The 15,003-nt window shown below is 41.2% G+C and overlaps 1 protein-coding gene and 1 pseudogene across 7 annotated transcripts in view; both read right to left on the reverse strand.

Annotated features, from left to right (window-relative positions):
• The window catches only part of PXDNL (peroxidasin like), a 489,869-nt gene that overhangs the window by 401,148 nt on the left and 73,718 nt on the right, over positions 1-15,003 (reverse strand). The gene's annotated exons all lie outside the window — the stretch shown is intronic.
• Positions 532-2,322, reverse strand: BTF3P1 (BTF3 pseudogene 1; annotated as a pseudogene).

Raw genomic sequence — 15,003 nt, forward strand, 5'->3', positions numbered from 1 at the left:
TAGGACACCAACACCATCACCTTTACAGCAGAATAAAGAGCATATTCACACAGTCGGCTAGTGGTCACGGCGCTTTTCCCTCTTGCTGCCAGCTCCCCACTGGCCCTGTGCAGGCTCCTGCCTAGGCCGGTGAAGGCAAGATAAGAGCAAGTGTTCAGTACTTCCAGGCACAACAGAGGGAACTCCACAGGCTGACACAGACGCTCGATCGCATGCAAAGAAAATCTCATTTTCCTCCCAAAGCTGTCCCACCACGGCCCCAGGATATCCGTGGCTCTTCCAGATAGTGACAGGGACGGAGCTGAAGCACTGTCTCAGAGGCTGCAGAGCCCGTGAACAAGTCTCAGAGCCTCCTGGCTGAACCCCAAGACTCAGAGCTTTGGCTCCAGGTTGAGCTTCAACCTGCAGACAACCTTCAAAGGGCACACCAGCACTCCAGAATCAAGCATGGATGAAAGTGAGGCTGGCACTGAAAACGAGCAGAGACCACGAAAACTAAAACACTCTTCACACTCAAGAACTCACTTCTTTTGTTTTTAATTAGGCAAAGAACTCTATTCATCTTTGTTTCAAACTTTATTCCCAGGTTTTTTCAGCTTAATTAGCTGCAAAGAATGAATTGTGTATAAACAAAAACTAAAAACAGCTGCAGTATCCAAGGGACTTGGGCTTAAAAATATTATAGATTTAGATTTTATGAGATCCATAAACAATTTTGAAAAGCAGTCATAATATAAAATAGCAGCTCCCAGTAACTTCTTCAACTTCTACTTTCTTTAGAAGTTGACTCAATTCTATACCTAATGATAAATGACGAGTTAATGGGTGCAGCACACCAACATGGCACATGTATACATATGTAACAAACCTGCACGTTGTGCACATGTACCCTAAAACTTAAAGTATAATAATAATAAAATTAAAAAAAAAAAGAAGTTGACTCAATTCACTTTGCCTCATTCTTGGAAGCCTCATCAAAATTCTCCACAAGATCGGGAACTTCACTATCATCATCATCATCCTCTCCAGCAGCAAGTGCTGCTTTTCCATCTACAGATAGTTTGGTGGAGCTCCAGCCAGCCTCCTTAAACTAGTCAGTCTGCACCAAGCTGGTTTACAATGGTAAACCAGCTGGTAGCATTTCTTTCAGCAGCTTTGTCCCAGCATGGCCTGTCATGGTGAAAGTGTTCCCAGAGATACCTGACCTTTAGGGTTGCTAAAGTGGATTGCTGTTCATTGGTTTGTAAACATATTCACCTCTTCAGTACCAGAGATAGTGTTTACCCCTAACTTCTTTAAGGAGAGCTGTAGTTTTTTCTAATCTGCTGCTGCTGTTCTACGGACCACCTTCTTCCTTCCGCAAGCAGTTGCTTTCTCACCAATGCACACTGGTGCCTGCAGTCGGCTGAGCTTTCCCTGGTTCATGATTGTTGCTTTCAAATTGTTGGAGAGGAAAAGGGGTAGCAAGAGGGACTAGTGAAATGGGAGAGTTCCCTGATCCACCTTGCAGGACATGCGACAGGGATGTGGCTCATCTATTTGGCCACTATGCGCACTCCAACCCCTATGGGAGGGGGAGCACACAGACGAGCAGGTGCAGGAGCCAGGGCCAGAGCTCCTGGGCTCTGACCCCACAGCGGCATCCAGGGGTGGTAGCCTGAGACTCCTGAAGCCCAAGTGGGCACATGTCACAGTGCACTCTTCTAGCTTTGCAGTTCGCAGATGGCTTACATGTTAACCAACTCAGTGCCCTCTTGGTACCTGGGTCCTTGTTCAGCATCCAGGAAGAATCAGGTCACACACAGACTCAGGGATGAATGCAGGGTTTTTATTGAGTGGTGAGGTGGCTCTCAGAGGGATGGATAGGGAGCTGGAAAGGGGATGGAGTGGGAAGACGATCTTCCCCTGGGGTTTGGCTGCCCAGTGGCCAATCTTGTCTCCAACTGTCCCCAGCCAAACTCCTCTCAGCATTCAGACACTCCTTCTCTTCTTTATGTTGCACTATTCTGCCATTCTTCTGCTCTTCTGTTTGTCCCCTCATGGAGCCTGGGGTTTGGGGTTTATATGAGTACAGGATGGGGACATGGCAGACCAAAAGGCAGTATTTTTTTTTCTATTTTAGGGAGCAAAAATAGGAGTGCCTGTTCTCATTTAGGGCCATGGGTTTCCAAGCTTGGGGGTGGGGCCTTTGCCAGGGAACTTCTTTTTTCTATCCAGTATTTCCCTGTCTCCAGTCTGTATCACTAGGGTTGGCACTCAAGGGGTCTCAGGTAGAACAGCTGAGATTAGGTGCTGTATGTGGAGATGCAAAATGGCCTCAAGAATTCATTTCTATAGCATATACCTGCCCCACACACAATAAAAAAAGAAAAGAAAAGAAAAAGACACAAGATAGAGCTATATTAGCCAAAGTCTACAAGCAGAACATCTGGGGGAAAAATCTATAAAGGACAATTAGTCTCCCTTCTGGATAGTATTCAGAAAAAAAAAATCTTTACTTTTCTAATTAGTGTGAAGTTAACTTAGAGAAAACAGGAATGTGGTAAAGGAAACACAAATTGAGAGTCAAATGGACCTGGATTCAAATCCAGACTCGAATTTACTATTCCTAATTCATCTATGCCTTGCAGCTACAGATGAGAAAAGGAAAAATCAAAAGTGAAACCAGACTCAGATGCTGGCTTCCCAGAACTCGTGCCGTATCAGGTAAAAGAGACACTAGACAGGCAGTCCTGCACGGGCGATATCAGCCTCAAGCAAGCCCTGAGCCAACCCAACTACCCTAGTCCAGAATGTTAGGAAAGGCTCTGCTGTGGCCCAAATGGAGAGAAGTTCATCAAGGAGAGAAACACATTGTGTGCATTTCCTCAGTCACAGAGACCTGGGAGGGCTCCACTGTGACAGCAGTTCAGGGTCCCTATGTGGCGGGAGCAATTCAGCAGTGAGCCACCTGCCGAAGGTGGGCCCTGGGCTGCGGGAGCACCAGCAGGTCGACAAAGTTCCTCTGAGCGAGGTGGGGCTGTTTCCTAAGGGCAGTCGACAGCCACTGAAAACATTAGGCAGGGAGGGGGCGCGGTCAGGCTTGCCTTTATAGAAAGTTTACTTTTGTTGACAATGAGAGGACTGCATTGCGGACAGTAAAACTGGTAGCAGGGAGTCTGGTGGGAGCCACTTGGAATAATCCAGGAGAGAGATGATCTGCACCTGAACAAGACGACTGTAAGGCAGGGGTGGAGAAGAGGAAATAAGATGGAGGAGTTTGAGGGTTGAATTGAATAGGAGTGGAAGGTGCAGAAAAGGAAAGAGGGAGGCATGGAGCGGAACAGGCCTCTCTTGGCTATCGCCGGACCAGGGGTGGGGGTGGGGTGCTACTCACAGAGCAGTGACCCATCTAAGACAGGAGCAGGTTGGGAGGACGGGTGGAGACTGTTGGCCAGAGCTCAGGAGAGAGTTTGGGGCTACAATGGCTATTTGGGGAATCTCTGCAAGGTTGTTAATTGATGGCATCCAAGTAGAAGAGGCCACAAAGGGAGCGTATGTAGAGAAAGGATCCTAGAGGACAGGCCTATAAGGAACAGCTGCTTTTAAGAGCAGGCAGAGTAAGAGATGTCATCAGAGGAGATTGGGAAGCACACCCGGGGCTGCTGGAGAACAGAGACCCCATCTGTTTGGTTCTCCATTGCAGTCTCAGGTCTCCAAACAAGGCCTGAGACAACAGACATATCTGTTATGTAAATTAGCTGCTGATGACCACATGACATCGCAGAAAAAAAAAGGAAAAATCAGATCTCAGGAAGAAGAGCATTCTCAAGAGAACCTGAAGTTGTGTTTACCTGTGGAGGGTGTTTCTGCCCTTCGAGAGTAGGCCACTGCGTGCCACCATACATAGTTCTCCTTAGTCCATAAAATGCCATGGACACTACTAGCAAAGTCTACCATAGGCAGAGATGAGTAACAGGCTTTGTGTGGGTCGCCCCAGCCCTGTAGAAGCCATCTTAGCCCATGTGAGACCTGAAATAGTCTGAAAGCTCTCAGCTCCCTGTCCATGCTTTTTATCGTCTAAGGATCCCCTGCCCTGTCCTTGTGAGTGCCATGAACTCTATTGCCTTTCTCAGCAATCACTAAAATTCACGTGTGTTTCAGTTCACCCCAGCCCAGCTCTTCCTCCAGGAACTACCCCCTAATTGCTCCCCTCATCCAGGAGCCAGACTCCTCTAACTCACAGACTCCACCTATTGTCCTTGGACACTTAATTTTTTTTTCTTTTCTTTTTCTTTTTTGGAGATGGGGTCTCACTCTGTCACCCAGGCTGGAGTGCAGTGGCACCATTATGGCTCTCTGCAGGTTCGAACTCCGGGTGTTTATTACTAATTTCTGGGTATTTGCTGTCTTTTCTATTCAACCATGTAATAAGGTGCTGAGAACAAGATCATTTTATGGGTTTTCTGCACCCACAATGTCTAGAAAGTATCAGATCTTCCATAAATATTTGTTGACAATCAATAGCCCCATCCTCATTCCCATGGCACCATGTCCGTCGATCACAGAAATAATACAACATTTGCCACAGTGGGTGGGCATGTCGGTGTTTTTGTCTTTCCCATTGGCAAGAAATAAGAGCATTAGAAATAAAAGATGTGTTTTTATTAGTAGTAGTACTTGAAGAAATCTGAGTAAACTGATTGAAAATTCTATTTATTTTTGTAAACGTGTTTCTAACACCACTTATTTTATTTTCTTTGATCATTTTAGCTACAAAATAAAAGTAGCACTTCCAGAATAGAAGGCTTCTATGATAAGAACACATTCAGGGTCAGAGTGTTCTCTTTCCTTCCCGGGAGCGTTGTCCTGGCCTCCACCATGGAAGGAGAAGAACATCTCCCACCTCAGGCCCTTGAAGCTCCTCGTTGCATTAGCTGCCTGGTTGTGAAATCTGTGTTACCAAGCACTCCCAGGCATGAATTATAAGTCCTGGGACAGTGGGAACAACTAAAGAACATTTTGATTGGGGATAGAACCCAGTTCTCTTTAGTAAGACACCTTAAGGTGTTTTGCGTTCTGCAAGGACAGATAGTAAATGGTCAACAGGCAAGTATTCACACACAGGTAAGACACAGGTCATCTTACATGTGTAAGCTGATTTTATGGGCCCTAATTTTTCAAAAACTTTGCTTCATTAGGCTTAAGTGTGACCACTGACCATTTCAACAACATTGGCCTCTATGTTTTGGTTCAGTCGTTAATTATTGATGTAGCCTTGATAAAATCACTTCAGTCTCTGAACTTCAGCTTTAACTGTAAAATAAAAAGGATTTGTCCAATGTCATCTTGAATCTCTTGAAATTCTGTCCTTGATTCTGAGACTTAAACATTACAGAAAGAAATGCAGCGTTTTTTGATGCCCTGTGTGTATATCTCTATTGCAGCTCTAACTGCAATCTATTCAAATCAGTTCTTGAATAGTTCATTTCTCCCACTAAAACAAGCTCCATGGGAGCAGGAATGAGTCCCATTACCTCTGGCGCCCCAGGTAGAGCGAAGAGCTCTCAGCACCCATGGGCCCAAAGTCCCTTAACTAGTGGATGAACACGCCGGCTCTATGCCAGCTCTCATACTTCTGGATCCTCTAGCCTGCTTACATCCCACTTCACCTTTGGCTTGGTAAACCCAAGAGAAATGGAATTCATTGAAAGGCCCATGATGGCTGCCCTTACCTCCCTGTCTTACGTCTCTTTGTGCCCACAGAAACCGCCTGGGACCAGAAAAACATAGACGTGACTATGCAAACACACAGAAGATGAGGAAGACAGGTCTTCATACTTGCCTATAAGGCCTTTTTATTCATCACTATTCTTTGCCGTTCACCTGAACTATTCTTTAACTCACATTCTAGGTTAGAAGATAGCAGATTCCTAGAATGTTCAACGTTACATGATACTTAAAGCAGCACAAGGCTTCACCTAAAATAAATCTTGCAGTGACTTACAAAGCTAATGAATCTGGTGTGACTCCTTTCAATATTTTCATTACATTGAGCCACTAAAAGCTTATTTAAAAAAATCTAGGATTTGAAAAAAATAACCTACTATACTGAAAAGTTTAATTTCATTTATCACCATTTTGGAATAATCTACCTGAATAAAGTTTCAAAGTACTACTAGATTCTTAGACCCAGGCAATACTTTACAGTTTTAGTAAGGACTTTCAACCCTTTTCCTCCAGTTCAAGAAAGGCTCTATCATCTTCATAAATGACAGAACAATCATGGTCCTTGGCGGGCCTCCCTCCATGGCCAAGAGTGTGAAGCATATCTTGAATGAAAGTCTAACTACTCCATTTGTACTTATAAGATGACACCAATATAATACAAATTGGAAGAAATGTTTTGCCTCAAGAAATAAATTGTTCCTGAGATGCTACAAAACAAGTATTTATAATAAGTGCAGACTAGGAACAAGATAGTTTGCATGGGAATTTCAAACACTGACCCTAAATGCCTTATGTTGATTGTACTAAAGAGCATGGCATTTTGTTTTGTAATTTTGCTTTTAATCTATAGTATCATTTTACAATTACATACACTCAAATCAAAGTAAAAGCACATAAAAATGATTCCGTAGTACTACTACACAGTGGGGGTCCATAAACATCTGTGCCATAACCAACATAACAAAAACGAATGAAGTTAAACAATAATGCAAAATACTATAAAAACATTTCTCTTCATGGCAATGCTGGTGTTTACAATTGTCTACTGTTGCAGGATCACTTAGAAGAATACAAAACCCAAAAATTTACTTTGAGAATATAGAGTTGTTAAAGCAAATAAGAGGAGACCCTTGGCCTAAGGTTTCCTCTGTACCCAGAGCACTATGTAAGCAAACTGAAACTTGACTTGGAGGGCATTTTTTTATAACTGACTAAAAAAAGGAAAAAAAAGGAAGAAACACCTAGACTCAGTCAACCACAAACAGTCAAGCACCAGGTTAGCTGTGGAACTAGGGATCTACAATCACGCTATGCCTAAATGAGGCAAACACCTATGGTAGGCAATCAGGAAATGTCTTAACTTTGCTTCCACGTTCAGCCTCTGAAAGCTCAGTGCTCACTCTAGCAGAGCACTCTGAGCTCTGCCGGTTTTGACTGCTCCCAAGTTCATGAATTGTTCTTTGTTTAAATAGATTCTGTTAAATTTATTTTCTCTAAAGTTTTCCTTTTAAGAGAGTAAACAAAAAAGAAAAGTTAAAAGTAAAATTTTGTTCTCTTAAATTTCACATATGTATTCTATTGCTTAACACATTAAATACAGTCATGCACCACATAACGATGTTTCAGTCAGTGATGGACCACATATGCACTGGTGGTCCCATAGGATTACAATGGAACTGACAAATTCCTATTGTCTAGTGATGTCATCACCAAAGTAAGGTCATTGTGTAATGCATTACTCACATGTTTGTGGTTATGATGATGTAAACACACCTACTGTGCTGCCAGTGTTATAAAAGTCTAGCACATACAGTTATGTATAGTATATAATACTTGATAATGATAATAAATGACTATGTGACTGATTTATATACTCATTATACTTTTAATCATTATTTTAGTTACTCCTTCTGCTTATATATTTTTTCAGAGTAAACTGTAAATTAGCCTCAGGCAGGTCCTTCAAAATGTGTTCCAGAAGAAGGTATTGCTATCATAGGAGATGACAGCTCTATGGGTGCTACTGCCCCAAAGATGTTCTACTGGGACAAGATACGGAGGTGGAAGATGGTAATATTGATGATCCTGATCCTGTGCAGGCCTAGGCGAATGTGTGTGTTTGTGTCTTCATTTTTAACAAAAAGTATTAAATGAAAAAAAAATTTAAAAATTTAAGAATAAAAAATGTATAGAATAAGGAGATAAAGAGAGAAAATATGTTTGTACAGCTGTAAAATGTGTTTGTGTTTTAAGCTGAATGTTATTATAAAAGAATCAAAAAAGTTAAAAAAATTAAAGTTTATAATGAAAAACTTTATAGTAGGCTTAGTTTAATTATTATTGAAGACAGAAAAATGTTTTATAAATTTAGTGTAGCCTAAGTCTACAGTGTTTATAAAGTCTACAGTGGTGTACAGGAATGTCCTAGGCCTTCACATTTACTCGCCACTCACTCACTGACTTCCCCCAGAGCAACTTCCATCCTGCAAGCTCCATTCATGGTATGTGCCCTACATAGGTGTACCAGTTTTTGCCTTTTATATGGTATTTTTCTGTACCTTTTCTATTTTACATATGTTTAGATACATAAATACTTACCCTTGTATTCCAGTTGCCTACAGTACTCAGTACAGTAACATGCTGTATAGGTTTGTAGCCTGAGAGCACAATGACAGAATCACCTAATGATGCATTTCTCAGGACCTACCCCCATTGTTAAGTAACACATAACTTAAACTAGACTTCACTAAAATTAAAAACGCTATGTGAAAGACACTGTCAAGAGAATGAAAAGACAAGTGACAGACTGAAAGAAAATATGTGCAAAATATATTTCTGATAAAAGATAGTTATCCAAAATATACCTAAAAATAAAACTCAACAATAAGAAAACAAAAAATGGGTAAAAGCCCCACTAACACCTCACCAAAGAAGATATACAGATGAGAAATAAGCATATGAAAATACGCTTAATATCATAGTCATTAGAAAGTTACAAATTAAAACAATGAGATACCACTACACAATCATTTAGAATGGCCAAAATCCAAAACACTGACAACACTAAATACTGGTGAGGATGCTGAGCAGCAGAGACTCTTATTGGTTGCTGGTGGGAATGCAAAACAGTAGAGCCACTTTGGGAAAGTTTGGCAGTTTCTTACAAAAATAAGCATACTCTTGCCATATAATCCAGCATCTGTGCTCCTTGGCATTTACTCAAATAGAGGAAATCTTAATTCACACAGAACCTGCACACAGATGTTTATAGAAGGTTTAATCATCATTGTCAAGACTTGGGAGCAAATAAGATGTCTTTCATCAGGTGAATGGATAAACTGTAGTACATCCACACCAGGAACTATTAAGCAGAAATGAGCTATCAAGCCATAAAAAGACATGGAGGAAACTCAAATGCACACTACTAAGTGAAAGAAGCCAATCTGAAAAGGCTATGTGCTATGTGACACACTATGGCATTCAGGAAAAGGCAAAACTATGAAGACAATAAAAAGATCAATGTTTGCCAATGGTTAGAAGAGAAGGGGGAAGGATAGGTGGAGCACAGAGGACTTTTAGGGCAGGGAAACTATTCTGTATGATAGTATAATGGTGAATATATGCCATTACACGTCAGTCAAAACCCCTAGAGTGTACACCAAGAGTGAACCCAAGTGATAACTATGAACTTTAAGTAATAAATATGTGTCAATGTAGGTTCATCACTTGTAACATCTCATTCAGGGTATTGACAGGGGGTAGCTTACAGGAGCAAGATGGCATATGGGCCCTCTCTGTACTGTCCACTCAATTTTGCCATGAACCTAAACTGCTCTAAATAATAAAGTCTGCTTTAAAGTGTCAACATAATCAAATAACCTTTTCTGAATTTTTTTCCTTCATTACACATTTTAGATTTCAAAACCAATTTTTATGTCTAGCTCATTCTATGAATATATCATTGCTATATTTTCATAATCTGGGTGTCATCAAACTATAAGCCTTATTTTGGAGTGATAGGAAGAAAACCCCCAAGTAATCTCTGAACAGTTTACCAATTGTCTACTATGTACCATTGATGTGTCTATATGCCATGGATGTAGAGATGATTAAGATGAAATCTCTGTCCCTAATGGCTAACCCTCTAATTCTCTAACGGAAGAAGGCAGAAAAGTAAACAATCAATAAACATTTATGTACAAATAAACACTGACATTGTATATTAGTCTGTTCTCATGCTGTTAATAAAAACATACCCCAAGACTGGGTAATTGTTAAAGGAAAGAGGTTTAATGGACTCACAGTTCCACATGGCTGGGGAGGCCTCACATTCATGGCAGAAGGTGAAAGAGAAGCAAAGTCAAGTTTTACATGGTGGAAGGCAAGAAAGCATATGCAGAACTGCCCTTTATGATACCATCAGATCTCATGAGACTTACTCACTATCACAAGAACAGCACAAGAAAGACCCACCCCCATGATTCAATTACCTCCCACTGAGTCCCTCCCATGACATGTGGAAATTATGAGAGCTACAATTCAAGATGAGATTTAGGTGGGGACACAGCCAACCACATCATTCTGCCCCTGGCCCCTCCCAAATCTCATGTTCTCACATTTCAAAACCAATCATGCCTTCCCAACAGTCTCCCAAAGTCTTTATTCATGTCAGCATTAATACAAAAGTCCACAATCCAAAGTTTCATCAAAGACAAGACAAGTCCCTTCCACCTAAGAGCCTGTAAAATCAAAAGCAAGTTAGTTACTTCCTAGATACAATGGGGGTACAGGCATTGAATAAATACACCCATTCCAAATGGGAGAAATTGGCCAAAACAAAGGTGTTACAGACCCCATGCAAGTCTGAAATCCAAAGGTGTAGTCAAATCTTAAAGCTGCAAAATGATCTCCATTGACTCCATGTCTCACATCCAGGTCACACTGATGCAAGAGGTGGATTTCCATGGTCTTAGGCAGCTCCACCCCTGTGGCTTTGCAGGGTACAGCCCCCTCCTGGTTGCTTTCAGGAACTGGCGTTGAGTGTCTGCAGCTTTTCCAGGCACATAGTGCAAGCTATCCGTGGAACTACCATTTTGGGGTCCGGAGGACGGTGGCCCTCTTCTCACAGCTCCACTAGGACTCTGTGTGGGGGTTCCCATTCCACATTCCCTTTTGCACTGTCCTAGCAGAGGTTCTCCATTAGGGCTCTGCCCTGCAGCACACCTATGCCTGGACACCCAGGCATTTTCATACATCCTCTGAAATCTAGGCAGGGGTTCCCAAACCTCAATTCTTAACTTCTGTGGACTCACATGCTCAACACCATGTATAAGCCATCAAAGCTTGGGGCTTGCACCCTCTGAAGCAATGACCTGAGCTCTACTTTGGCCCCTTTTAGCCATGGCTGGGACACAGGGCATCAAGTCCTGAGACTGCACACAGCAAGGGGCCCGGAACCATTTTTTTTCCTTCTAGGCCTCCAAGGCCTGTGATGGGAGGGGCTGCTGTGGAGACCTCAGACATGTTCTGAAGATATTTTCCCCATTGTCTTGGCAATTAACACTGGACTCCTCATTACTTATGCAAATTTCTGCAGCCAGCTTGAATTTATCCTCAGAAAATGGGTTTCTCTTTTGTGTCACATCATCAGGCTCCAAATTTTCCAAACTTTTATGTTGTACTTCCCTTTTAAACTTAAGTTCCTATCCCAAAGCATATCTTTGTGAATACATAAAACCAAATGCTTTTAACAGGACCCAAGAGCACTTTGCTGCTTAGAAATTTCTTCTGCCAGATGCCCTAAATCATCTCTCTCTAGCTCAAAGTTCCACAAATCTCTAGGACAAGGGCAAAATGCCACCAGACTCTTTGCTAAAACATAGCAACGGTCACCTTAATTCCAGTTCCCAACAAGTTCCTCATCTCCATCTGAGACCACATCAGCCTGGACTTTATTTTCCATATCACTATCAGCATTTTGGTCAAAGCCATTTAACAAGTCTCTAGGAAGTTCCAAACTTTCCTACATCTTCCTCTCTTCTTCTGAGCCCCTCAAACTGTTCCAATCTCTGCCTGTTACCCAGTTCCAAAGTCGCTTCCACAGTTTCGGGTACCTTTACAACAGCGCCCCACTCTACCAGTACCAATTTACTGTATTAGTCTGTTCTCACCCTGCTAATAAAGACATACCTGAGACTGGGTAATTTATAAAGGAAAGAGGTTTAATGGACTCACATTTCCACATAGCTGGGGAGGCCTCACAATTATGGCAGAAGGCAAAGGAGAAGCAAAGACACATCTTACATGGCAGCAGGCAAGAGAGCGTGTGTAGGGAAACTCCCCTTTATAAAATCATCAGATCTCAAGAGACTTGTCCACTACCATGAGAACAGCTTGGGAAAGACCCATCCCCATAATTTAATTACCTCCCACTAGGTCCCTCCCATGATGTGTGGGAATTATGGGAGCTACAATTCAAGATGAGATTTGGGTGGGGACACAGCCAAACCATATCACATGGGATCCCAGGAGGGTTTCAACAATCTGTTCTTTTCTGTTCACTACAAACCCCAGGTGCCCTGTGGCCATTTTTAGAGCAATTTGTCACCTTGAGTAAGAGTCTAAATTCTGTTTGTCTGCTTTGTTCTGGCAACAGTGCCTGTCACATGGTAGGTGCTCAGTAGTTATCTGTGGATGAGCATGACTTCTAGAAACAGTTGCTTTAGAACCAAATCCAAGAGTAAATCTAAGAGGAAAAGGAAAACCCTGTAGTGACCTTACTTGAGACTGTAAAACATATTCACTAGCATTCTGAAGAATACAGATAAGTAACGTATTTTCCTCCGTCTTCCCTCATTTCTATGAAGCAGTTTAAGGCTATGGGCTTCCAAAATGTAACTCAAGTGTTCTCACTTGGTGGATTTTGGTTTTATAAAAGTAGAACAAAGTAAAAGATTTGCACACCCTATGTTTTAGTTTCTTATAAAACTAAGCATATTCTTGCCATTTCTTGGTGATTTGTTCTCAGAAAAGGAGGAAACATGAAGGAGGGAAGAACAAAGTGAGGGAGGAATATAAATAAAGGAAAAAACAGGCCAGGTATGGTAGCTGACGCCTGTAATCCCAGCACTTTGGGAGGCTGAGGTGGGCAGATCACTTGAGGTCAGGAGTTTGAGACCAGCCTGGCCAACATGGCGAAACCCTGTCTCTAATAAAAATACAAAAATTAGCTGGGCATAGTGGCGGGCACCTGTAGTCCCAGCTGCTCAGGTGGCTGAGGCAGGAGAATCACTTGAACCCAGGAGGTGGAGGTTACGGTGAGCCAAGGTCATGCCACTGCACTCCAGCCTGGGTGACACAGCAAGACTCTGTCTCAAATAATATATATATATATATATATAATTTATATATATATGATATATATGATATATGATATATTTTATATATATTACATATAAAGGAAAAAACAAAAGAAGGGATATGAGAAGGTTTGCTTGAATTTTGAGTAACATATCTGCAAAAGAATATTCCATTTTATGTTAATAAACATCTTGAATAGATGTTTTATGGTTAACTCTAGACATCATTGACTTAGAGTGTATCTTTCAAGCTGAGGAATGATGTTCTCACCTTATCAGCAAAGGGCTGTTAATTCCTGTCATTACATGAAACCTCACTATCAGTATAATGCGGAGCTTTGAAAGATCAATAGCATAGCACCTTTTTACGTTTCTTATTTGGATAATTATTTTAGGACTTAAAGCTCCAAAATTTTTTATTTTCAAAAAAGAGTTTGTTAGGGAAGAGTAGAGATTAACAGTGAATTCAAACAAACTAGTTTTTAAATTATACACTGAGAATAAGAATCAAAGAAATTAAAGTAAAAAAGGACATATTAGAAAATACTCTTTCAACACCCTAAATTCCTTTTGGCATACGGTTTAGATAAATTGGTCTATTTAAGTCCCACTTGACCTTTCAAAATGGTGGAAATTATGTGGTTGTGATAGTTGGGTTCTGAAACGGGAGTCTAAGTTGACGAGTGAATAATCTCTAACTCTTTAGGAACTCACAGCTCATCAACATCAATACATAATATTTATATGACAATCTTAACATCTTAATACAAGAGAGATAAAAGACATAGACAATAAAAATAGGCATTTTGCCTAGCAATTTCAAACAAGTATTTTTCTAAATACATGGCAGAAATACCAGACAAAACCATCTGGTATTTCCTATGTTGACACCTAATAAATCAAGTAAAGACAATATTTTCTACTCTGCTCTTTAAAACCTCCAAGGAAAATTAAAAGACAGTGTTAAGTCAAGCATGCAGCTGCTGAGACTCAAAGCAATATTACATAGCAAAATTAGAACTGCAGAAATCTGAGCATGAAAGGCAAATACAGTGAAGGTCTTGGAAGTCTCAGGTTTAAAACATTGAATTGAAATAAACATAATAGGGTTGGAGAGATTGGGGAGATGTTGATCAAAGGATATAAAATTTTGGTTAAACAGGAAGAATAAGTTCAGGAGATCAATTGTACAACATGGTGACTATGGTTAATAACAACATATATTCTTGAAAATTGCTAAGAGAGTATACTTTAAGTGTTCTCATCACAAAAAAGATAAGTATGTGAGATAATGCATGTTAATTGGCTTGATTTAGTCATTCTACAATGTAAACATATATTAAAACATCATGTTATATGCCATAAATATATACAATTTTTGTACATTTAAAAATAAATTAAAAATGTGGCCAGGTGCAGTGGCCCATGCCTGTAATCCCAGCACTTTGGGATGTCGAGGTGAGTGGATCACTTGAGGTCAGGAGTTTGAGATCAGCCTGGTCAACATGGTGAGACCCTGTATCTACTAAAAAAAAAGACAAAAATTAGCTGGGCATGGTGGTGCGTGCCTGTAATCCCAGCTACTCAGGAGGCTGAGGCAGGAGCATCACTTGAACCCTGAAGGCAGAGGTTGCAGTGAGTCGAGATCCTGCCGCTGCACCCCAGCCTGGGCAAGAGAGCAAGACTGTCTCAGAAAAAAATAAATAAATAAAATTAATTAATTAATTAAAAATTGTTTTTTTTTTTTTTTTTTTTTTTTTTTTTTTTTTTTTTGAGACGGAGTCTCGCTCTGTCGCCCAGGCTGGAGTGCAGTGGCGGGATCTCGGCTCACTGCAAGCTCCGCCTCCCGGGTTCACGCCATTCTCCTGCCTCAGCCTCCCAAGTAGCTGGGACTACAGGCGCCCGCCACTACGCCCGGCTAATTTTTTGTATTTTT

This window comes from Homo sapiens, chromosome 8 (genome assembly GCF_000001405.40).
Source record: "Homo sapiens chromosome 8, GRCh38.p14 Primary Assembly".
NCBI classification, from domain to species: Eukaryota; Metazoa; Chordata; class Mammalia; order Primates; family Hominidae; genus Homo; species Homo sapiens.